This window comes from Homo sapiens, chromosome 5, assembly GCF_000001405.40.
Source record: "Homo sapiens chromosome 5, GRCh38.p14 Primary Assembly".
Lineage (NCBI taxonomy): Eukaryota > Metazoa > Chordata > Mammalia > Primates > Hominidae > Homo > Homo sapiens.
Genome location: NC_000005.10, coordinates 100,505,837 through 100,530,939, shown reverse-complemented (window position 1 = coordinate 100,530,939; position 25,103 = coordinate 100,505,837). Strand labels below are relative to the sequence as shown.

Below are 25,103 nucleotides of genomic sequence, written 5' to 3'. Positions count from 1 at the left end.
CAGCAAAAAGCTTATCCACCACGATCCAGTTGGCTTCACCTCTGGAATGCAAGGTTGGTTCAACATATGCAAATCAATAAATGTAATTAATCACATAAATAGAACTAAAAGCAAAAACCACATGATTATCTCAATAGATGTAGAAAGGCCTTTAATAAAATTCAACATCCCGTTATGTTAAAAATGCTCAATAAACTAGATATTGAAGGAAGATGCCTTGAAATAATAATAGCCATTTATAACAAACCCACAGCCAATATCATACCGAATGGATAAAAGCTGGAAGCATTCCCCTCGAAAGCCAGCACAAGACAAGGATGCCTTCTGTCACCACTCCTATTTAACAGAGTATTGGAAGTTCTGGCCAGGGCAATTAGGCAGGAGAAAGAAATAAAGGGTATTCAAATAGGAAGAGAGGAAGTCAAATTACCTTTGTTTGAAGATCACATGATTCTGTATCTAGAAAGCTCTATAGTCTCAGCGCCAAAGCTTCTTACACTGATAAGCAACTTCAGAAAAGTCTCAGGATACAAAATCAATGCAAAAATTGTTAGCATTTCTATACACTAACAGCCAAATCAGGAATGAACTCCATTCACAATTGCCACAAAAAGAATAAAATACCTAAGAATACAGCTAACAAGGGAAGGGAAGGACTTCTTCAAGGAGAAACAAAACCACTGCTCAAATCAGGGAGGACACAAACAAATGGAAAAATATCCCATGCTTATGGATAAGAAGAATCAATATTGCAAAAATGGCCATACTGCCAAAAGTAATGTATAGATTCAATACTAATTCTATTAAACTACCACTGACATTCTTCACAGAATGTAAAAAAAAAAAAAACTATTTTAAAATTCATATGGAATGAAAAGGAACCTGAATAGCCAAAACAATCCTAAGCAAAAAGAACAAAGCTGGATGCATCACACTGCCCAACTTCAAACTATACTACAAGGCTACAGTAACCAAATCAGAGTAGTACTGGTATAAAAACAGATGCATAGAGCAATGGAACAGAATAGAGAACTCAGAAATAAGGTCACATACCTATAACCATTTGATCTTTGGCAAACCTGACAAAAACAAGCAATGGGGAAAAAATGTCCTATTTAATAAATGGTGCTGGGAGAAGTGGCTAGCCATATGCAGACAATTGAAACTGGACCCCTTCCTTACACCATGTACAAAAATTAACTCAAGATTGATTAAAGACTTAAATGTAAAACAATACTATGCAAACCTGAGAAGAAAATCTAGGCAGTACCAGTAAGGACAAAGGCACGGGCAAACATTTCATGATGAAAATGCCAAAAGCAATTGCAACCAAAGCAAAAATTGAGAAATGAGATCTAATTAAGCTAAAGAGCTTCTGCACAGCAAAAGAAACTATCATCAGAGTGAACAGACAGCCTATAGAATGGGAGAAAATTTTTGCAATCTGTCCATCTGACAAAGGTCTAATACACAGAGTCTGCAAGGAACTTAAGTTTACAAGAAAAAATAACCCCATTAAAAAGTGGACAAAGGACATAAACAGACTCTCATAAGACATACCTGTGGCCAACAGTCATATAAAAAAAGCTCAACATCACTGATCATCAGAGAAATGCAAATCAAAACCACAATGAGATACCAACTCATGCCAGTAAAAATGGCTGTTACTAAAAAGTCAAAAAAACATGCCAATGAGGTTGCAGAGTATTGGAAGTTCTGGACAGGGCAATCAGGCAAGAGAAAGAAAGGGTATTCTTTTATTTCTGTGTAAAAGGAACAGTGTAAAAGCAATACTTTTACACTGTTTGTGGGAGTGTAAATTAGTTCAACCATTGTGGAAGACAGTATTATGATTCCTCAGAGACCTACAGGCAGAAATATCATTTGACTCAGCATTCCCATTACTGGGTATATACTCAAAAGAATATAAATCATTCTTATTGTAAGGATACATGCATGTGTGTGTTCATTGCAGGACTATTCACAATAGCAAAGAAATGGAATCATCCTAAATGCCCACCAATGATAGACTGGATAAAGAAAATACGGTACATATATACCATGGAATAGTATGCAGCCATAACAAGAAAACATATCATGTCCTTTGCAGGGACACGGATGGAGCTGGACGACATCATCCTTAGCAAACTAGTGCAGGAACAGAAAAGGAAACACCACATGTTCTCACTTATAAGTGGGAGCTGAATGATGAGAACACGCGGACACATGGGGGGAATAACACATACTGGGGCCTGTGGGAGGGGCGGTGTTGTGGGGAGGAAGAGCATCAGGAAGAATAGCTAATGGATGCTGGGCTTAATATCTAGGTGATGGGATGATTTGTGCAGCAAACCACCATGGCATACGTTTACCTCTAACAAATCTGCACTCCTGCACATGTACCCCTGAACTTAAAAGTTCAAGAAAAAAAAGATAAAGAAATTAAAGGAACATTCAAACAACAACAAAAACAACAGCAAAAAGAGTAGTAGTGAATAACCCCTTCTGTTTTATCAAGACAGAAATCTTTCCAAAGACACAGTTAAGCCCAGACCTCAGGAGATTTTTGGAAATTGACCAAAATAAACTTACCTTTTGATGAGCATAAATTAATATTTCTTGTATTCTGCTAATGAAATAATAATACAATCATATATTTGATATTCCCAATGAATGTATAAGCACATTTAAATCATTTTCTGAATATTATTTTATATTGAATTACTTTTATTCTGTGACCCTAGATATTCAAATATATTTCCTTCAGAAATCCCACTATTATAAACAAACTGTGAATTTCACATTTTTGATCTTTTCAAAAATATTTTTTAATTTTTAATTTTCATAGATTAAGGGGTACAAGTACAGTTGTGTTCTATAGATGTATTGTGTAGAGGTGAAGTTTGGGCTTTTAGTTTACCCATCACCCGAGTAGTGTACTAGTGTACATTATACCCAATAGGTAGTATTTCAATCATCACCACCCTTCCTCTTCCACCTTTTGTTGTCTTCAATGTCTATTATTCCACACTGTATGTCCATGTATACCCATTGTTTAGCTTCCACTTGTAAGTGAGAACATGCAATTATTCCCTTTCTGTATCTGAGTGATTGCCCTAAGGATAATGACCTCTAGTACCATCTTTGATGCAAAATACATTATTTTGTTCTTTTTTTAATGACTGAGTGGTATTCTATGGCATACAGACACACACACACCACACATATCACATTTTCAGGCGTCAAGTTAGAGCTTTCCTGATGTGGCCAGAAAGTGGGGCAGACTGCCTTATGACTATGAGAGTATAGGTGTGAAGCAGCTACCATACTCTTAGAGGTTACTGGGATATTCATGTAGTGCTCAACACAGATTTGATCAATTGAAAGTATGAATAAATGAATGAATTAATGAATCACATCAAGCACACAACATATTTTAAAAATGTTTATCAGAAAGCTTAGAATAATACATTCTTAGAATGGAGATTACTTTTTCCCTAGTGACAAGTAAAATAATTTTTAACATAGTGTCTTGTAATCAACATCATTCTTGAATACTTGCCTTTTTTTTTTCTCCCATCCCATATGTTTGTCTTGGCTTCAGATTAATCAGGAAGCCTTTAAATTACAGAGTTTCTTTTCATCTTTCTTCTTCTGTGAGAGAATAAGTAGTTTTCACGTAACAGGATATTTAGTGTATGTTTCTAGGATTGGTGTATTTATTTGTATCCTCTAGTGATTCATGTTTAACAGAGATGTTTTTAAACAAAACATAGGAACAATGTGGATATTAACACTGGAATTCCCAGTTTCTACTTCCCTTAACATATTTTCTGTAATTGAGTGATATTTTCTTACATATATCTAATAAGACATAATAAAAAACTGTATTCACAGTTACTTACATATTCTGTAAATTTTTCAAAGCTCTTTTTTAAAAATTTTAATTGAAAATTATACATATTTATAGGGTACAATGTGATGTGTTGATACATGTATACATTGTGTAATGATCAAATCAGAGTAATTAGCATATTAATCACCTCAAACATTTATTTTTGTGTGTGTGGTGGGAACATTCAAATTTCTGTCTTCTAGCTATGCAGAGATATTCCAAATTACAATTAGAATAAGTTCTGGTGTTCTGTTGCACAGTGGGGTGACTATAGTTAATAATATGGTATTGTAAATCAAATCTCTTTCTTGAGGTTGCAGTGCACTAGGCTAGGATGTTGGCGAAGAGTAGCATATGTATCTTCAATTTCAACCTAAGTAAAAAAAAAAATATAAATAAGAAGAAGCATACCAAGAGGCAATGGCAAATTGAATAAGCGGGTCAGTGATGCTGGGTAAATATCTAAACTACACTATGAGCTTGGGGAATGTTTTGTGTGCTGATGAGAAGAATGCATATTCTGCAATTCTTGGATGGAGTGTTCTCTAAATATCTGTTAGATCCATTTGTTCTAGAGTGCAATTTAAGTTCATTATTTCTTTGTTGACTTTCTGCCTTGATGATTTGTTTAGTGCTTTCAGTGGAGTGCTGAAGTATTCCACTAATACTGTGTTTCTATCTATCTCTTTTTTTAGATCTACTGGTAATTGCTTTATGAATCTGGGAGCTCCAGACCTAGGTGCATATATATTTTGAATTGTTATTTCTTCTTGTTGAATTCATCCTTTCATCATTATATAATGATGTTTGTTGTCTTTTTTAAGTAAATATTTAATTTTTTTTATTTCAATAGGTTTTTGGGGAACAGGTGGTGTTTGATTACATGAATAAGTCATTTAGTGGTGATTTCTGAGATTTTGGTACATCCATCAACCAAGCAGTGTACACTGTACACAATTTGTAGTCTTTTATCCCCCCCCCACCCCACCCTTTCCCCTACATCTCCAAAGTAAGTCCAATGTATCCTTTTTATGTCTTTGCATCCTCATAGCTTAGCTCCCACATATGAGTGGGAACATATGATGTTTGGTTTTCCATTCCTGAGTTACTTCACTTAAAAGAATAGTCTCCAATTCCATCCAGGTTGCTGCAGATGCCATTATTTCATTCCTCTTTATGGCTGAGTAGTATTCCATGGGGGGTGTGTGTGTGTTTGTGTGTGTGTGTGTGTGTATATATACATATATATATACACATATATATACATATATACACATATATATACATATATACACATATGTATACATATATACACATATATATACATATATACACATATATATACATATATACACACATATATACATATATATACACACATATATACATATATATATATATATCTCACATTTTCTTTATCCACTCATTGATTGATGGGCATTTGGACTGCTTCCATATTTTTGCAGTTGCAAATTGTGCTGCTATATAAATGCATGTGCAAGTTTTTTTTTTTCCGTATTATGATTTCTTTTCCTCTGGGTAGATACCTAATAGCGAGATTACTGGATCAAACGGTAGATCTACTTTTAGTTCTTTAAGGAATCTGCACAGTTTTCCATACTGGTTGTACTAGTTTACATTCCCACCAACAGCGTAAAAGTGTTTTCTTTTCACTGAATCCATGCTAACACCTCTTATTTTTTGATTTTTTGAATGATGACCATTCTTGCAGGAGTGAGCTGGTATCACATTGTGGATTTGATTTGCATTTCTCTGATAATTAATGAGGTTAAGCATTTTTCCATATTCTTGTGGGTCATTTGTATATCTTCTTTTGAGAATTGTCTATTTATGTCCTTAGCCCACTTTTTTGATGGGATTTTTTTTTTCTTTCTTGCCAGTTTGTTTGAGTTCTTTGTAGTTTCTGGATATTAGTCCTTTGTCAGATGTACGGATTGTGAAGATTTTCTCCCACTGTGTGAGTTGCCTACTAATTCTGCTGATTATTTCTTTTGCTGTGCAGTAGCTTTTTAGTTTAATTAAGTCTCATCTATTTATCTTACTTTTTGTTGCATTTGCCTTTGGTTTCTTGGTCATGAAGTCTTCATTCTTTTTGCTTAGTATTTCTTTGGCTATGTGGGCTCTTTTTTGGTGCTGTATGAATTTAAGGATATTTTCTTTGTAGTTCTGTGAAGAAATGATGGTGGTATTTTGATGAGAATTGCATTGAATTTGTAGATTGCTTTTGGCAGTATAATCATTTTTACAATATTGATTCTACCCATCCGTGAGCATGGGATGTATTACCATTTGTTTGTGTCATCTATGATTTTTTTCAGCAGTGTTTTGTAGTTTTCCTTGTAGATGTCTTCCCTGCACTTGGTTAGGTATATTCCTAAGTATTTTTTTTTTTTTTGCAAGTATTGTGAAAGTGGATGAGTTGTTGATTGTATTCTCAGCTTGGTCACTGTTGGTGTGTAGCAGAGATACTGATTTGTAGTTCATTAATTTTGTACCCTGCAACTTTGCTGAATTCATTTACCAATTCTAGGAGCTTTTTGGATGAGTCTTTAGGGTTTTCTAGGTTACAATGATAACATCAAGCAACAGCAACAGTTTGACTTTCTGTTTATCGATTTGGATGCCCTTTATTTCTTTACCTTGTTTGAATGCTCTGGCTAGGACTTCCAATAATATGTTGAATAGGAATGGTGAAAGTGGGCATCCTTGTCTTGTTCCAGTTTTTGGGGGAATGCTTTCAACTTTTTGCCATTCAGTATAATGTTGGCTGTGGGTTTGTCATAGATGGCTTTTATTACCTTAAGGTTTGTCCCTTCTATGTCAATTTTGCTGAGGGTTTTAATCATAAATGGATGCTGGATTTGGTCAAACGCTTTTTCCACATCTATTGAGATTATCATGTGATTTTTGTTTCTAATTTTGTTTATGTGATGTATCACATTTATTGACTTCCATATGTTAAACCATCCCTGTATCCCTGGTATGAAACCCACTTCATCTTGGTAGATTATCTTTTTGATATGCTGTTGGATTCAGTTCTCTAGTATTTTGTTAAGGATTTTTGCATCTACGCTCATCAAGGATATTGGTCTGTAGTTTCCTTTTTTTGTTACGTTCTTCCCTGGTTTTAGTATTCGGGTAATACTGGCTTCATAGAATGATTTAGGGAGGAGTCCATCTTTCTGTATTTTTTGGAATAGTGTGAATAGGATTGGTACCAATTCTTCTTTGAATGCCTGATAGAATGCAGCTGTAAATCCTGGGCTGTTTTTTGGGTTGGCAGTTTTTAAATTACCATTTCAGTCTCGCCACTTCTTGTTATAGGTCTGTTCAGAGATTCTATGTCTTCCTGGTTTAATCTGGGAAGGTTGTATATTTCCAGGAATTTATCTATCTCCTCTGGGTTTTCTAGTTTATGCACACAAAGGTGTTCATAGTAGCCTTGAATAATCTTTTGTATTTCCATGGTGTCAATTGTAATATCTTCCATTCCATTTCTTATTTTATTTGTTTATTTATTTATTTATATTTTGAGAAAGAGTCTCGCTCTGTCACCCAGGCTGGAGTGCAGTGGTGTGATCTCGGCTCACTGCAACCTCTGCCTCCAGGCTTCAAGCAATTTTCCTGCCTCAGCCTACCGAGTAACTGGGATTACAGGCATGCACCAGTATGCCCAGCTAATTTTTGCATTTTTGGTAGAGACAGGGTTTCACCATGTTGGCCAGGCTGATCTTAAACTCCTGACTTCAAGTGATCCACTCACCTCAGCCTCCCAAAGTGCTGGGATTATAGGCATGAACCACTGCACCCAGCCCCATTTCATTTCCAACTGAGCTTATTTGGATTTTCTCTCTTCTTTTCTTGGTTAATTTCACTAATTGTTTGTCAATTTTATTTATCTTTTCAAAGAACCAGCTTTTTGTTTCATTTATCTTTTGTATTGTTTTTGCTTGTGTGTTTGTTCCAATTTCATTTAGTTCTGCTCTGATCTTTATTACTTCTTTTCTGCTGGTTTTGGGTTTGGATTGTTCTTGTTTCTCCAGTTCTGTGACGGTGACCTTAGATTGTCTATTGCTTTTTCAGACTTTCCGATGTAGGCATTTAATGCTGTGAACTTTCCTTTTAGCACTGCTTTTGCTGTATCCCAGAGGTTTTGGTAGTTTGTGTGTCACTATTATCGTTCAGTTCAAAGAATTTTTAGATTTCCATCTTGATTTTATTATTTACCCAATGATCATTCAGAGGCAGGTTATTTAATTTTCATGTATTTGCATGGTTTTGAGGGTTCCTTTTGGAGTTGATTTCTAATTTTATTCCACTGTGGTCTGGGAGAGTACTTGATACAATTTCGATTTTTTAAAAAATTTACTGAGACTTGTAGCCTTCCATATGGTCTGTCTTGGAGAATGTTTCATGTGGTGATGAATAGAATGTATATTCTACAGTTGTTGGGTAGAATGTTCTGTAAATATCTGTTAAGTCCATTTGTTGTAGGTTATAGTTTAGGTCCATTGTTTCTTCATTGACTTCCTGTCTTGATGACCTGTCTAGTGCTGTCAGTGGAGTATTAAAGTCCCACATTATTTTTGTATTGCATTCTGTCTCATTACTTAGGTCTAGTAGTAATTGTTTTGTAAATTTGGGAACTCCAGTGTTAGGTGCATATATATTTGTAATTTTGATATTTTCCTGTTGGACTAGTCCTTTTATCATTAGACAATGTTTATTGTTGTCTTTTTTAACTGCTGTTGCTTTAAAGTTGGTTTTGTCTGATATAAGAATAGCTACTTTTGCCCACTTTTGGTGTCCATTTGCATGCAATATCGTTTTTCACCCCTTTACCTTCAGTTGATGTTAGTCCTTGTGTGTTAGGTGAGTCTCCTGAAGACAGCAGAAACTTGCTTGGGGAATTCTTATCCATTCTCCCATTCTGTATCTATTAAGTGGAGCATTTAGGCCATTTATAATCAATGTTAGTTTTGAGATATGAAGTACTATCTATTCATCATGCTATTTTTTGCCCAAATACATTTTTTTCATTGTGTTATTGTTAGCAGGTCCTGTGAGATTTATGCTTTAAGGACGTTCTATTTTGGTGTATTTCAGATATTTGTTTAAAGATTTAGAGTTCCTTTTAGCAGTTCTTGTAGTGCTGGCTTGGTAGTGTCAAATTCTCTTAGCATTTGTTTGTCTGGAAAAGACTGTATCTTTCCTTCATTTAATCAAGCTTAGTTTCTCTGGATTCGTAATTCTTGCCTGATAGTTGTTTTGTATAAGGAGGCTAAAAATAGTACCCCAATCTCTTCTAGCTTGTTGGGTTTCTCCTAAGAAATCTGCTGTTAATCTGATAGGTATTCCTTTATAGGTTACCTGATGCTATTGCCTCACAGCTCTTAATATTGTTTCCTTTGTCTTGACTTTAGATAACCTAATGACTGTGTGCCTAGGCAATGATCTCTTTGCAATGAATTTACCAGGTGTTCTTTGAGCTTCTTGTATTTGGATGTCTAGATCTCTAGCAAGGCTGGGGAAGTTGTCCTTGATAATTCCCTCAAATATGTTTTCCAAACTTTCAGGTTTCTCTTCTTCCTCAGGAACACTAGTTATTCTTAGGTTTGGACTTTTAACATAGTTCCAGACTTCTTGGAGGCTTCGTTCATTTTTTATTCTTTTTTCTTTGTCTTTGATGGATTGGGTTAATTCAAAAGCTTTGTCTTTGAGCTCTGAAGTTCTTTCTTCCACTTGTTTGATTCTATTACTGAGACTTTCCAGTGTATTTTCCAATTCTCTGTGTCCTTGATTTCCAGAAGTTGTGGTTGTTTTTTATTAATGCTATCAATCTCACTGAAGAACTTTCCTTTCATATCATGTATCATCTTTTTGATTTATTTAAGTTGGACTTCACTTTTCCCTGATGCCTCCTTGATTAGCTTAATAATCAACCTTTTGAATTCTATTTCTGACAATTCAGAGATTTTTGCCTTGGTTTGGATCTGTTGCCGGTTAGCTGGTATGATCTTTTGAGGGCGTTAAAGAACCTTGTTTTGTCATACTACCAGAATTGCTTCTCTGGTTCCTTCTCATCTGGGTAGACTATGTCAGAGGGAAGATCTGGGATTCAAGGGCTGCTGTTTAGATTATTTTGCCCCATGGGCTGCACCCTTTATGTAGTGTTCTCTCCCCTCTCCTAGGAATGGGGCTTCCTGAGAGCTGAACTGTCATAATTATTTTTGCTCTTCTGGGCCTAGTCACCCAATGGAGCTACTGGGCTCCAAGTTGGTACTGGGGAGTGTCTGCAGAGTCCTGTGATGTGATCCATCTTCAGGTCTTGCAGCCATGAATACCAGCACATGCCCCAGTGGATGTAGCAGGGGAATGAAATGGACTCTGTGAGGGTCCTTGGTTGTATTTTTGTTTGGTGTGCTGGTTTTGTGTTGATTGGGCTCCTGCCAGGAGGTGGCGCTTTCAGGAGTGCATCAGCTGCAGTCCTATAGGGAGGATGCAAACTTGCCCTAGGTACACTTGGTTAAGTATTCAGGTTTGCCAGGTGGTGGGCAGTGCAGTAGAGCTCCCAGGAGATTATGACCATTGTCTTTGGCTACCAGGGCTAGTACAGAAAGACCACCAGGTGGGGGTAGGGATAGGCATGTCTGAGCTCAGAGGCTCTGACATGCTGCTCTGTTTGTCCAAGCGGGAGGTGCAAGCTAGTCCTGCCTTCTACCCTTTGTTGTCTCTTTTTGCTATTGCTTTAAAATCAATTTTATCTAAGAATAGCTACTCCTCCTCAGTTGTGGTTTCTATCTGCATGAAATATCTTTCCCCCCTCCATTTACTTTGACTCTATAAGGATCCTTACATGTGAGGTGGGTCTCCTGAAGACAGCAGATATTTGGTTTGTGATTTTTTAAAAAAAATTCATTCTGACAATGTATCTTTTAAGTAGATTATAGAGACCATTTATATTCAACATTAATGTTGAGATGTGAGATACTGTTTCAGTCATCGTATTGATGGTTACCTAGTGACTTTGTTTTTTGCATTGTGTTATTGTTTTATAAGTCCTGTGAATTTTATGCTTTCAGGAGTTTCTATTCTGGTGGGTATCAATCTTTTGTTTCAACAATTAGAACTCCTTTTAGCATTTTTTTGTAGGGCTATCCTTGAGTGACACATTCCCTTAGCATTTGCTTGTCAAAGAAAGACTTTATGTCTTCTTCATTTATGGAATTTAGTTTTGCTGGATATAAAATTCTTGGCTGACAGTTACTCTGTTTAAGAAGACTAAAGGTAGTACCCCAATCTCTTCTAACTTGTACGGTTTCTACTAAGAAGTCTGCTATTAGTCTGAGAGCTTTTCCTTTATAGGTTACCTGATGCTTTTGTCTCACTACTCTTAGAATTCTTTCCTTCACATTGACTTTAGATAGCCTGGTGACTATATGCCTTGGTGTTGTCTTTTTGCAATGAGTCTCCCAGGAGTTAAATTTTTTATATTTGGAAGTCAAAAGCTATAGCAACGCCAGAGAAATTTTCCTAAGTTATTCCCTCTAGAAGTTCTCCAAACATTTTGCTTTTATTTTCTCCCTCAGAAACACCTATAATGATTAAGTTTGGCCATTTTACAAAAATGCATATTTCTCAGAGACTTTGTTCATTTATTCTAATTCTTTTTTATTCTTTTTTTTGTTCTTATTAGGTTAATTCAAGAGCCTTCTCTTTGACCTGTGAAATTCAATACTTGGTCTGTCTATGTTAAAACTTTCAGTTGCATTTTCTAGTTCCCTAAATGTTTCTTTCATTTTCAGAAGTTATGAAACATTTTTCTTTAAAATATCTACCTCTTTAAAATTTTTTCATTTATATTCTTAGTTTTTTAAAAAATGATTCTTTATGTTGGTTTTCACCTTTCTCTTGTATCTCCTTAAGTAAATTAGTAATCAACCCTTTGAATTCTTTATCTGGTATTTCAGTGATTTCATCTTGGGTTGAATCTACTGCTGGAGAATTAGTGTGATCTTTGGGGAGTGTTACATAACTGTTTTTTTCATATTTCCAGAATTATTTTAATTATTTTTCTGGTTCTGTTTCATTTGTGTAGACTAGTGTAATTATTTTTGAATTTATTTTTGACTGCTTTTTTTGATCCTTATTTTTTTTCCCCTTGAGGATGAGACTTTATTGTTTATTTTCACCTAGCTTTGGCTCTGAGTGCCTTCAGTGGCAAAGACTGTATGAATTCCTTGGTTGTAGAGAAACAATGTGCAATGACTTTCTCAGATGCTAGTTTTAATAATGATGTACTAGGTGTTGGAGTAGGTTCACTGTCTCCTGTGAGGCTGGAATAGCAGCGATTTTATGAAGCTTAACTCATTCCCTAGTGGTGTACACCTAAAAATAATTTCTTTCCCCTAGGATCTTATTCACTGATTTGAAGAGTTCATGCATCGAGCCAGTAGGCTGTGCACATGGGTAAAAACTGGCTGCGGCTAAACAGGTAGGTAAATGCAATACTCCAATGATGGGCAGAGGTCCCAGCCTTAAAAGAGGTGGCTGGGGAAGTTCTCAGTGAAATACTCTGAGATATTTTCAGGGGAAAGGGAGGGAGTCACCATAGCTCTCCTTCTAGGCCAGCAGCCAAGTGTTTCACCTCCAAGACACACTCCTGTTGCAGTGTTCCAGCTATTCAGATCAGACAGGCACCTCTTTTCATCTGCAGGAATGCTGATGTTTCATGGAGACAGGGATTGTCACTCTACCTCTTGTCCAAGCATAAACCTGGGGGCACTCCTTCTGTGAGAATGCAGTCTGAAAGGCTGTCTACAGATGCACCCATGATAGGTTACCTTAGGAGAACCCCCAGCTGTGTCTGCAGTGGTGAGTGAGGGGAAGAAGTCTCCTTCTCCAGTTCTCCTCATGAGCCTCAGGGCTGTCTGACTGTTGGGATAGAGCTGCAGACTTCCCCACTGAGCCCAGCATTGCACTTGTGCCTCTGCTGAAAGAAACTTCTCACAAGTGGAAAGTTCAGGGACTTGAGGTTACATTGGGTGCTCCCTTAATGTGGTACACTCCCTCTTCCCCAGTAAGTAGAAGTCCCTGAGCAGACTGCTGTGAGTCCTGCTGCTGCCCTGGGTCTAGTTGCCCAGTGGGGCTGCCACACTCCAGGCTGGTTCAGGGAATCCAGTGATGTGACCTGTTCTCAAGTCTTCCAGCTGTTGGTACCAACGTCAGCTCTGATGGGAGTGGGAGGGGAGTGACATAGACTCTTAGATTTCTATGGTTATAAATAGCTTTCATGTGTTGGCTTTTTGAAATGTCAGCTGCAGTAGTATTGTACTGGGCACATGGACTGGCTCAAGAGCTCCTGGTTACCCAAGCTGATGCAAGCAATGTCAATGGCTGAGGTTGAGCAAAAATTTTCTTCTTCCTAAGTGCTGTGTTATTGTGCCTGCAGATGTTGTAACGGGCTGTGCCAGCTGGCCTCCAGCCAGAAGGTGGCACTTACAAAAGAACGCCAGGTGCAGTGGTAGTGGTTGAATCTATGCTTGCCTTTTGTTACTCAGGAGAGGCACTCTAGTGCCTCAGGCACTGGGAGGGGCCATGGAGCTCCCATAGGTCCCTACTCCTTGTTGTACTACGAGGGCCTCTTGTGTTGCAGTACCAGGACAGGTGGTAGGGCAAAGCCAGGTGGGGGCTGGGTCAGGCAATTCCATCCTTTCGCTCCCTACATGCAGGTGCAAGCAGTAGCCCGGTGAGGAAGAGAGGGAAGTTCCCTGGCTGCTGGAGTAATGTTCCAGGGAAGAGCACAGCTGCCTCTGCTACACAAAAGAATTTGCATGGGGTTTGGGGGGTTAGCAGGTGCCAATAAGCCCCACTCAGCCCCCACATACTTGGCAAGGAAGGTCCATGGTGTTCTGCTAGGAGCAGCTAGCTGGGTCCCAGGCATTCTGCACTCAACACAAAACTGCCCCCAGGACACAAACCTTTTTGCTGGAGACAGAAACTGTGGCTTTCAGGCAATGTTTCTCCCAGTCCACCCATGAAGCAGGGTTTTTCAGCTCCTGCACCCATGGGAATAGCACATTTCCTGCTGACCTCTCAATTCTGGCCAATGGGGTTCATCCCCAATCCAGATTATATCACAGATCTAAGTTGGGAGCGTCTCTGAACCTATGACCACCACCTGAGTTAGCTGGCAGACTTTCACAACTTCCCCTGTGCAGTAGGATCAGGAATGGCTTCCCTCCATGGCCACTGGAGTCTCGGGGTGCACACAAAGCATCCTTCTCATGTAGTCCAGACTGTTCATGAAATCAGCTCCAGCAGTGGATAGGGTTAAGACCTTGCCCCGTAACCTGGATTTCCTGTCCCTCCTGTTGGAGCATATGTCACAGTGGCAGTCTCTCCCTAATATTATGCTCTGGAGACTCAGTTTGCCATCTTAGTTAGTGGTGTAGGCTGCTGCCTGCCACTGCTTTCAAAGGGTCTGTGGTTTTAAATGAAACTTTTCTGTTAAGTTCTTGTGTTGCTTCATGGGAAAAAGTTTTCAGTGTGAATCTCTACATGCTATTTTGTCTTTCCAAGTGAGTGATGCATTCTAACTATGCCTACAATCTGCCATCTTCTACAGAGAGTTTCAAAAAGTTACTTTCATTTTTCATTCATTGCTCTTAGATGACAACTACAATTTTGGAGTATTTTTAAATGTCTTCAAATATCTCAAGTAGTAACACAAACCAAAAATGATCCTAATTTAATTAATTTTTAAATCATTTATAAGACTTTCAGAAGTAGTTTCAAATTGTCCCTGTTTGCAGATGACATGATTATATATCTAGAAAACCCCCTTGTCTCAGCCCAAAATCTCCTTAAGCTGATAAGCAACTTCAGCAAAGTCTCAGGATACAAAATCAATGTACAAAAATCACAAGCATTCTTATACACCAATAACAGACAAACAGACAGCCAAATCATGAGTGAACTCCCATTCACAATTGCTTCAAAGAGAATAAAATACCTAGGAATCTAACTTACAAGGGATGTGAAGGACCTCTTCGAGGAGAACTACAAACCACTGCTCAATGAAATAAAAGAGGATACAAACAAATAGAAGAACATTCCATGCTCATGGGTAGGAAGAATCAATATTGTGGAAATGGCCATACTGCCCAAGGTAATTTATAGATTCAATGCCATCCCCATCAAGCTACCAATGACTTTCTTCACAGAATTGGAAAAAACTACTTTAAAGTTCATATGGCACCAAAAAAGAGCCCGCATCGCCAAGTCAATCCTAAACCAAAAGAACAAAGCTGGAGGCATCACGCTACCTGACTTCAAACTATACTACAAGGCTACAGTAACCAAAACAGCATGGTACTGGTACCAAAACAGAGATATAGATCAATGGAATAGAACAGAGCCCTCAGAAATAACGCCACATATCTACAACTATCTGATCTTTGACAAACCTGAGAAAAACAAGCAATGGGGAAAGGATTCCCTATTTAATAAATGGTGCTGGGAAAACTGGCTAGCCATATGTAGAAAGCTGAAACTGGATCCCTTCCTTATACCTTATACAAAAATTAATTGAAGATGGATTAAAGACTTAAACGTTAGACCTAAAACCATAAAAACCCTAGAAGAAAACCTAGGCATTACCATTCAGGACATAGGCATGGGCAAGGACTTCATGTCTAAAACACCAAAAACAATGGCAACAAAAGACAAAATTGACAAATGGGATCTAATGAAACTAAAGAGCTTCTGCACAGCAAAAGAAACTAACATCAGAGTTAACAGGCAACCTACAAAATGGGAGAAAATTTTTGCAACCTACTCAACTGACAAAGGGCTAATATCCAGAATCTACAATGAACTCAAAGAAATTTACAAGAAAAAAACAAACAACCCCATCAAAAAGTGGGTGAAGGACATGAACAGACACTTCTCAAAGAAGACATTTATGCAGCCAAAAAACACATGCAAAAATGCTCACCATCACTGGCTATCAGAGAAATGCAAATCAAAACCACAATGAGATACCATCTCACACCAGTTAGAATGGCAATCAACCATCTCACACCAGTTAGAATGGCAATCATTCAAAAGTCAGGAAACAACAGGTGCTGGAGAGGATGTGGAGAAATAGGAACACTTTTACACTGTTGGTGGGACTGTAAACTACTTCAACCATTGTGGAAGTCAGTGTGGCAATTCCTCAGAGATCTAGAACTAGAAATACCATTTGACCCAGCCATCCCATTACTGGGTATATACCCAAAGGACTATAAATCATGCTGCTATAAAGACACATGCACATGAACGTTTATTGTGGCACTATTCACAATAGCAAAGACTTGGAACCAACCCAAATGTCCAACAATGATAGACTGGATTAAGAAAATGTGGCACATATACACCATGGAATACTATGCAGCCATAAAAAATGATGAGTTCATGTCCTTTGTAGGGACATGGATGAAATTGGAAATCATCATTCTCAGTAAACTATCACAAGAACAAAAACCCAAACACCACATGTTCTCACTCATAGGTGGGAATTGAACAATGAGAACACATGAACACAGGAAGGGGAACATCACACTCTGGGGACTGTTGTGGGGTGGGGGGAGGGGGGAGGGATAGCTTTAGGAGATATACCTAATGCTAAATGACGAGTTAATGGGTGCAGCACACCAGCATGGCACATGTATACATATGTAACTAACTTGCACATTGTGCACATGTACCCTAAAACTTAAAGTATAATAATAATAAAATAAAAAAGTAGTTTGATGAGATAATAATAACTGTGTATCAAGTCCACAAATTCTACAAGTCGCTGTTATAATTCCTTTATTCCCTAATTTTTCAGTGAAAATTCAAAATTATCATGGAAACTTAAAATATCCTACATATACTTTTCAAATATCTGTAAATGCCAGAGTGACCTTTGCCATAAAAATGGAATTACACATTAAACATAATAACTGCAAGGAGAAAATTTGAAGTTTATGATTGACATAATAAGTCTTCAAATTGTTAACATTAAGAGTTTCTGATGTCATTTCTTCGTGAGCAGATCTTCCTAGATTTGAATAATCTAAGTATGTTTACAAGTAGTTTTTTCTACTTTATTTGACTTGTCAAATACGTCGAAATATGATTGGCTAGCATGCCAGCAGTGAATGGATAAGATGCCACACCTAGAAGTCTGTGGCAGAGTCTTCTTACTACAATGAATATATTGTTTGACAAACTGAGATGTATGTTATATTTTTAATTTTTTTGTTTGCCTTCATCTGTTCACTCGGTATTCATACTTTATTTTGTGGATATCAGAGTCACAGAGATACATTAGTTTCACTTATTTAATTTTGAGATTCTATTCTTATTAATATTAATATAAATGAAATGATGTTATAAAATAGTATTGAAATTAGTAACATTGTAAAATTGTTTCATCTTAAAATATTGTTCAGTAAAACATTTGGGGCAATATTTTCAGTGATATATTCATACTTTAGAATAATGCAATACATTATGTTAAGTAAAGGAAGTAAAATACTGGCAGCAAATTCTAAAGAACTTCCTGAACTATAACTTAGACAAAACAACAACACAAACTTTTTTTAATATATTTTTTAAAAGATCGATATATATTATATATAAGATAGATAGTTCTCTAGGTTTTAAATGTATATACAAATAAATGCCTATTATATATGTATATGCATTGAGTGATTTTGGTCAAGTTATTTTGTCTCTCCTAGATCTCTATTTTCTCATTTAGTTGAAAAGAATTTTAGTTAAAATATGCATATGCATACATATATATGCATACTATATATGTATATGCATTTACAACCTTGAGAATTATCCCTCTTAAAATTCTTTTTAACTAAATGAGAAAATAGAGATCTAGAGAGATAAAATAATTTGACCAAAATCACTCAGTCACCTAGTTAATAAATTTTTCTTCAGGTTGTTGCTTTAATTTTTTTTTTTAATCTCCAAATCCTGTGTTCTTTCTACTAGAAAATTGAGTTGATCCCTAAACTGATTAATATCATAATGTGCTTTTATACACAAAAGACTAAATAAGTATTAATCACTCTGCTAGTTTTAACCACCCTAGGAAACCCTATACAATATCACCTTATTTATCAAACCACATAGGTGTAAATATGACACTTATGAATTGAAAATAGTTGAAATGAACAAGGAAAGGAGCCTGTGTGTGTGTGTGTGTGCGCGTGTGTGTGTGTCAGTTATGCATTGTTCCAAAACAGCTACAGTACTCCAAATCATAGTAGCTTAAAACAACAATTTACAATGTATTAAGCCTCACAAATCTTCAGTTTAATTGAGTGTTTCCTCTTCTGTTTTTACCTGTGCTCCCTCATGCTGCTAAGTCCAGCTAAGGGGTTGGATGGAGGTTCAGCTGTAACACCTAGATGTCTGGGCCTCTCTCCATGTGTTTTTTTATTCTCAAGGAGACTAGATCAGTCTGGCCTTCCTCATATGTGATGTCTACATTTCTAATAAAGTGCATGGTTTCTTGACTATAGCTCAGAAGTTTCCCATTGTCATTTCTGCCATGTTCCATTGGTGAAAGCAGGACCCAAGGCCAGACTCAAAGGGGTAGACAAATACAATTCACCTCTCAATGGGAAGAGCAGAAATGGCACATGGTACTAGGGCTTTCAAACCAGGCCATAATTGTAATAATCATATTCACTTTAAAGCATGAGTGAAAATATAGTAATAAAACTGTGTATTTCAAACTGGGTTTTATGAAATAAAATTTTTAATATATATTATGCAGTTTCCTCTTTTTCTCTCATTGTGAGATGCCTTTTACGTTGGGTTCTTTGTTACTCTCTTTCTTATTTCTTTGGAAATATACCTTTCAAGTATATATTACTTGCTTGGGAATTTATAAGTCTATTTTACAGTGTCAGTTAATGCCACTGAATCAAACTTTAAATGTCTAAAACTAGACTTGATTTTACAGAATTCCTAATTCTCTATCAATGCTACAACTCCTTTTCAGGTTCCCCCTCAATCAATAATTCAGAATGGTGTGTTTAAGTGTTAAGAAATGAACACTTTTTTTCCCCAAAAGAAATCTTACATGAAATCTCAGTAAATAAAATTGTAAACATGGTGATTAGTGAGTGTAAACTTATTTGTAAGATAACATTTATTTATTATATTTCAGACAACAAGAAATTGAAACAGTTTAGATAAAAATACTTGCGAACAAATTACAGTTGCTATGTAATGTCCTTTTGGTTTGTTTTGGTTTCATAGGAAAGGTAAAATCCTGATTCAAATGGGGAAACAGCTACAAATGCTAACTTGAAATATCACGATATTCTTTAACCTGAAATAAATGCTTATAACAAATGTAATAAGCATTTACTTATGCTTATGACATAGTAATAAGGAAAGTATATGCTTCAAAGTAGAATTCCTATCAAGAATAAAACTGCTGCCACTCTTCATAATTATTCTGAAATATAAGCAGTACCTCAGTCTGAATAATAAAAAAAATAGGACACTGTTTTCATGACAGGGCTTGTTGATAACTCTTACTGACCTAGATGTAGATGATCCTGAGTCTTGGCTGGAAGTCATTCCACTAATTTGCCTGGATACATTAATCAATAGAAGTAACCAAGAAAATATTTTCTTATCTGTTTTGTACTCAGGCAAAGGGTATGCTATGACAGATTTCTTTAATTGTACAGCTATTTCAATTTTAACAATGTAGACACTCACAAGTCTATATGTACACACAGGAAATACCCTTTCTTAGCCTGTAGCAGTGGCAGCAGATTCTTACCAACCCAGGATAAAATCTTCCAGACGTACCACATATAAAAATTGGGTAAGTCAAGACTTTGGTTAATCCCCACTACCGGTTGGAGCCTAATCAAACTAATAGGTTTGGTTTAAAAATCCGCATACCTGGCTCCTTAATAATTGTCTCACCTCATTTTTCACCATTTCAAATTCACTACACTTCTTTTACAATCTGTCTTATAGAGCAGGTTAGGTTTCATTCTATCCCCTATTCTGATGTTTCTCTTACTTATAATGTTCTCGTATTCCCCTCTCAACAAAAAGTAAATATTTTTGCATATGTATATGTATGTGTTGTTTGTTTGTTTGTATTTACTGCGTAATTATTTACTGTGAAGTTCAGAAAAGTTTCATCTTATATGGGAGGTTACATTTTAAGGTCAAAATTGCCCTTGAAAATTCCCACATTGCCCATCATTGCTTCTGATCACATTTTATTTTATTTGCGCATATTGTGAAGTCATGGTTTTTGAAAAATGCCAAGCTATAAATGTAGAATAATTTTCATTCCAATAATGTATCAATGTTGAATGAGACATGATGCAAACAGAGCAAGTAAGGGAACAGCAATTTTCTACTCCTCACATTGTACACACCTAGAATTCATGCTCATTAAGGAGACGACTAAGTGAATCAACGACATCACTAAGGTTATTTCTCTATCCTCGCATATGCATGTAGATTAATTCAGTAATTTAATAAATGTACAATTTGATGTCACTGTAATCTCCTTTCTCTATATGTCATGTATCCTAAATAGTAAAATGATCATAGGGCTATAGCATGCTCTGTATCCAGTTTCTATAGAACATCAAGTGCAATACGAAACACAAAGTTCTCAGCAATAATTGAAGGACTGTTAAAGCATGAATTAATCTAACACATCAACAATCAAATTAAGAATCTTGTATCTTTAATTTTAATAAGACAAGTTGACCTTTTGAAATAAACTCAAGGTCATAAAATATTACCTATAAACATAAATATTGGTTAAATGTGTAAACCAAATCTCAGAGTTGACAATGAATGAATTACGAATGCTCTTTTTATTAAGAAGTTTGGGAAGAAAACTAATAAACACCACATATTAAAAAATACGTATATATTTGCTATATATTTGTGATCAATTGATTTGCAACACAGAAGCAAAGGCAATTTTTTGGAGAAAGGAGAGTCTTCAATAAATAGTGCTGGAACAATTGTACATCCATAAGAAAAATAAATAACCTCAATCCATATTTTATAATTTACACAAAAATTACCTCAGCATGAATTATAGAAGTAAAACTCCTTTGAGTCTTACAGAAAACATCAAAGACTATCTTTGTGACTTTGGATTAGTCAAATATGTCTTAGATACCACAGTAAAAGCACGACTTATTAAAGTGAAAATTAATATTGCAATGGCATATTACTACACATTTATTAAGAGTGCTACAATAAAATAAATACACAAATAAATATTTATAAAAGCTGAAAAGGATATATTTTGCAGGTGAGAATACATATTGGTACAGCCTATTTGGAAGTCAGATTTTCACTGTCTTATGAAGTTCAATATATAGTTACCACATGACCAGATACCCCACTCCTGGATATTTACCCAGGTACATGAAGTAAGTTTACACAGAAATCTAAAGGTTTAACCATAAAGGTTTTAAGTGGCTTTTCTTCATAACCACAAAACTGTAAACAACCCACTTGTATATAATGAAATAATTACAGCAATTAAAAGAAACAAACTGTTGATATGTGAAGTAATTTAGATGAATCTTACCTGTATTATGCTAAATGAAAGAAGCCAGACTCAAAAGGCCATATACTGTATTATTTCACTCATAAGAATGTTTGAGAAAGGCAAAACTATAGGAGCAAAAAACTAAATGCTTACAGGTGTGTTTTTTTTCTGAGTCCTCTCTCCTCGGCATGTTCTGGACCACCTTCTCCCTGTGTCCTCACTTGGCCTTTCCTCTGTGCCTCACTTCCTGGGTGTCTCTCTTTGTGCTCAAATTTTCTCTTCTTATAAGCACACAAATCAGATTGGATTGGGGCACACCCTAACTCCATCAGTTTAATTTAATCACATTTATGAAGGACTTGTCTCCAAGTATAGTTTCATTCTGAGGTACGGGGAGTAAAGGCTTAATCATATGAATTTGGGAGAAACACAATTCAGCCCATAATTATGTGTTTGCCAAAAGTCACAGAATTTTGTAGACCAAGAACGTTAGAATGATTTCATTTGCATTACACCTTAATAAACAAAAATTAAAAGGTCATAATCAACCCCACTGGCGTTAAGTTCACCTACAAAAATGTAGTTATATCCCAAAGGAACTACAGGACCTTTTCAACGCATACTAAAAGAAACCAGTAAGAGACATTAAGGCTTGACTCTGGGGAATGCTGAAAAAGGTGACAGTATAAATTTAATGTAAATTTACATAAAAGAAAAGTAAAATTGAGATGAGAGCATTGCTAAGATAAGCAAGATCTAAATACCATAGTAGAACCCTGAGAAATGATGAAAACTTGCTGCTAGTATTACTCCTGTAAGTATCAATATAATTATTGTTAATGTTATAATTTCATTATAATTATTATTAATGTTATAATTTAACTATTACACTCCTTGGTATGTTTTTTCTTGGTGTTTGTCTTTGGAGTTGATTGAGTTGCTCAGATCTGTACCTTTATATATGTTATGAACCTAAGAATATATTCAGCCAATATTTTAATGTCTCTTCAAATTTTTTTTCTAACACAACTTTATTTTCTTCAGGTACCCCAATTACACATATAATTGAGCTTTTAATATTATCCTGTAGGTCAATAAGTCTGGTTCTAATTTTTTTCAGCATTATTTTGTCTTCCTTGCTTCAGTTTGTATAGTCTCAACTTGTTTACTTCTGGTTCACTGTTCTTTTCCTCTGGAGTTTCTAATTTACTGTAAAGATTCTTCAGTATTTGTTTCAGATATTATGGTTTTTCAGTTTCAGATTTTTCCAGTTTTTTGTTATAATCTCCATTTCTCTATTGAGAGTCCATAATTGTTTTGCCTTATGATCAGGATTTGCCTAAAAATCTTGAACTAATTTTTTTCCCTCTTTTTTTAAAATTATACTTTAAGTTCTGGGGTACATGTGCAGATTGTGCAGGTTTCTTACATAGGTATACACGTACCATGGTGGTTTGCTGCACCCATCAACCTGTCATCTACATTAGGTGTTTCTACTAGTGGTATCCCTCCCCTAGACCCTCAATCCCCAACAGGCTCTGGTGTGTGATGTTCCACTCCCTGTGTCCATGTGTTCTCATTGTTCAACTCCCACTTAGGAGTGAGAACATGCAGTGTTTGGTTTTCTGTTCTGTGTTAGTTTGCTGAGATGGTTTCCAGCTTTATCCATGTCCCTGCAAAGGACATGAGCTTATCCTTTTTTGTGGCTGCATAGTATTCCATGGTATATGTGCCATGTTTTCTTTATCCAGTCTGTCATTGATGGGCATTTGGGTTGCTTCCAAGTCTTTGCTATTGGGAACAGTGCCACAATAAACATACGTGTGCATGTGTCTTTATAGCAGCATGATTTATAATCCTTTGGGAATATACCCAGTAATGGGATTGATGGGTCAAATGGTATTTCTAGGTGTAATCCTTGAGGAATCACCACACTGTCTTCCACAATGGTTGAACTAATTTACACTCCCACCAACAGTGTAAAAGTGTTTCTATTTCTCCACATCCACTCCAGCATCTGTTGTTTCCTGACTTTTTAATGATTGTCATTCTAACTGGTGTGAGATGGTATCTCATTGTGGTTTTAATTTGCATTTCTCTAATGACCAGTGATGATGAGCTTTTTTTCATGTTTGTTGGCCGCATAAATGTCTTCTTTTGAGAAGTGTTTGTTCATATCCTTTGCCCATTTTTTATGGTGGTGTTTGTTTTTTTCTTGTAAAGCTGTTTAAGTTCTTTGTAGATTCTGGATTCTAGGCCTTTTTCAGATGGATAGATTGCAAAAATTTTCTCCCATTCTGTAGGTTGCCTGTTCACTCTGATGATAGTTTCTTTTGCTGTGCAGAAGCTCTTTAGTTTAATTAGATCCCATTGTCAATTTTGGCTTTAGTTGCAATTGCTTTTGGTGTTTTAGTCATGAAGTCTTTGGCCATGCCTATGTCCTGAATGGTATTGCCTAGGTTTTCTTCTAGGGTTTTTATGGTTTTAGGTTTTATAATTAAGTCTTTAATCCATCTTGAGTTATTTTTTGTATAAGGTGTAATGGCTGTTATAAGGTCATCTGCTAATTCTGACAACTCTGTCATTTTCAGTAATGACTGATGGTTTTCCTGGTTATGGATCTCATTAACTTCATTTTGCATGTCTATTTATTTTTCACTTTATATTGGGCATTACATATATTATCTTGGTTATTTGAATTTTGTTGTTTTCCTTAGTAAAGAAAGGCCTTTACTTGAAGGCTCCAGTAGACCTACCACTAAAATGTTGCCTCTCTGCTACCTATTGTCCTAAATAATAGCTGGCTAATTAGAATTAGAATATCTGTTCTGTGCAATTTGAAACAGTTTTTCAGCTCATGGATTCCTAGTAGTTGTACTTCCTCTGGCAGTAATTCTCTATATAGCCTTTGGGAGTGCCAGCTTACGCATGTTCCACTTGGTATTCAGCCAAAGACTGAAGATGATTCATGCAGATTTCTTAAACTCCTTCTTTACACACATATGTTCTCTCCTGTACACTGCTTTGAAAATTTCAGCCATCTCAGTAGCCTCAAATTCCTGTATTTTTCTTCTCAGCTAGTGACACCACTCTTGGGCTTTCTTTGGCTAGTCAGGAACATGCATTCACACAGAAAACCAGTCTAACTCTGTGGCTAACCTATTTTGTTTCCTTTCTCTCAGTGACTGTAGTCCTATGACACCTATTATACAATGTCTGGAAACAGTTTCTATATTTTCCAGTTTTGCAGGTATTTGTAGTGGCAGACCAGGTCCAGTAGCAGTTACTTTGTGATGGTAGAAAGTGAGTCATAAAACTGTACTCTACATAGATATTGGTAACAGAGCAGGGCAAAAGCCCCAACATATAATATGCATATATCATAGTATCCACAAAAGGAGGATAAAATTGGAACTATTATCTAAAAATATTCCCCAAATTATGCAAATTCATTTTGCAAACAAGTTAACATTTCTAAGAAATGTGTAGTTATAGGCATCATGAATATGTAAAAAATGAAGTTGCATATTAATGTGTCATTTAAGGCATAATCAGAATAAAAGCATTTAAGAAATT

General features: G+C 36.1%; 1 long non-coding RNA gene across 1 annotated transcript in view, besides 1 other annotated feature; it reads left to right on the top strand.

Annotated features, from left to right (window-relative positions):
* The window catches only part of FAM174A-DT (FAM174A divergent transcript), an 84,330-nt gene that overhangs the window by 4,304 nt on the left and 54,923 nt on the right, over positions 1–25,103 (top strand). Inside the window, exon 3 of the long non-coding RNA NR_172939.1 lies at positions 12,329–12,410. This is a non-coding gene — a long non-coding RNA (FAM174A divergent transcript). The remainder of the gene's footprint in view (positions 1–12,328; positions 12,411–25,103) is intronic.
* Positions 13,224–13,533: an enhancer, noted in NCBI's record as "active region_22841". NCBI's record gives its function as "activates an Ori minimal core promoter by ATAC-STARR-seq in GM12878 lymphoblastoid cells {active_cell/tissue: GM12878}" and the evidence as "EXISTENCE:reporter gene assay evidence [ECO:0000049][PMID:35858748]".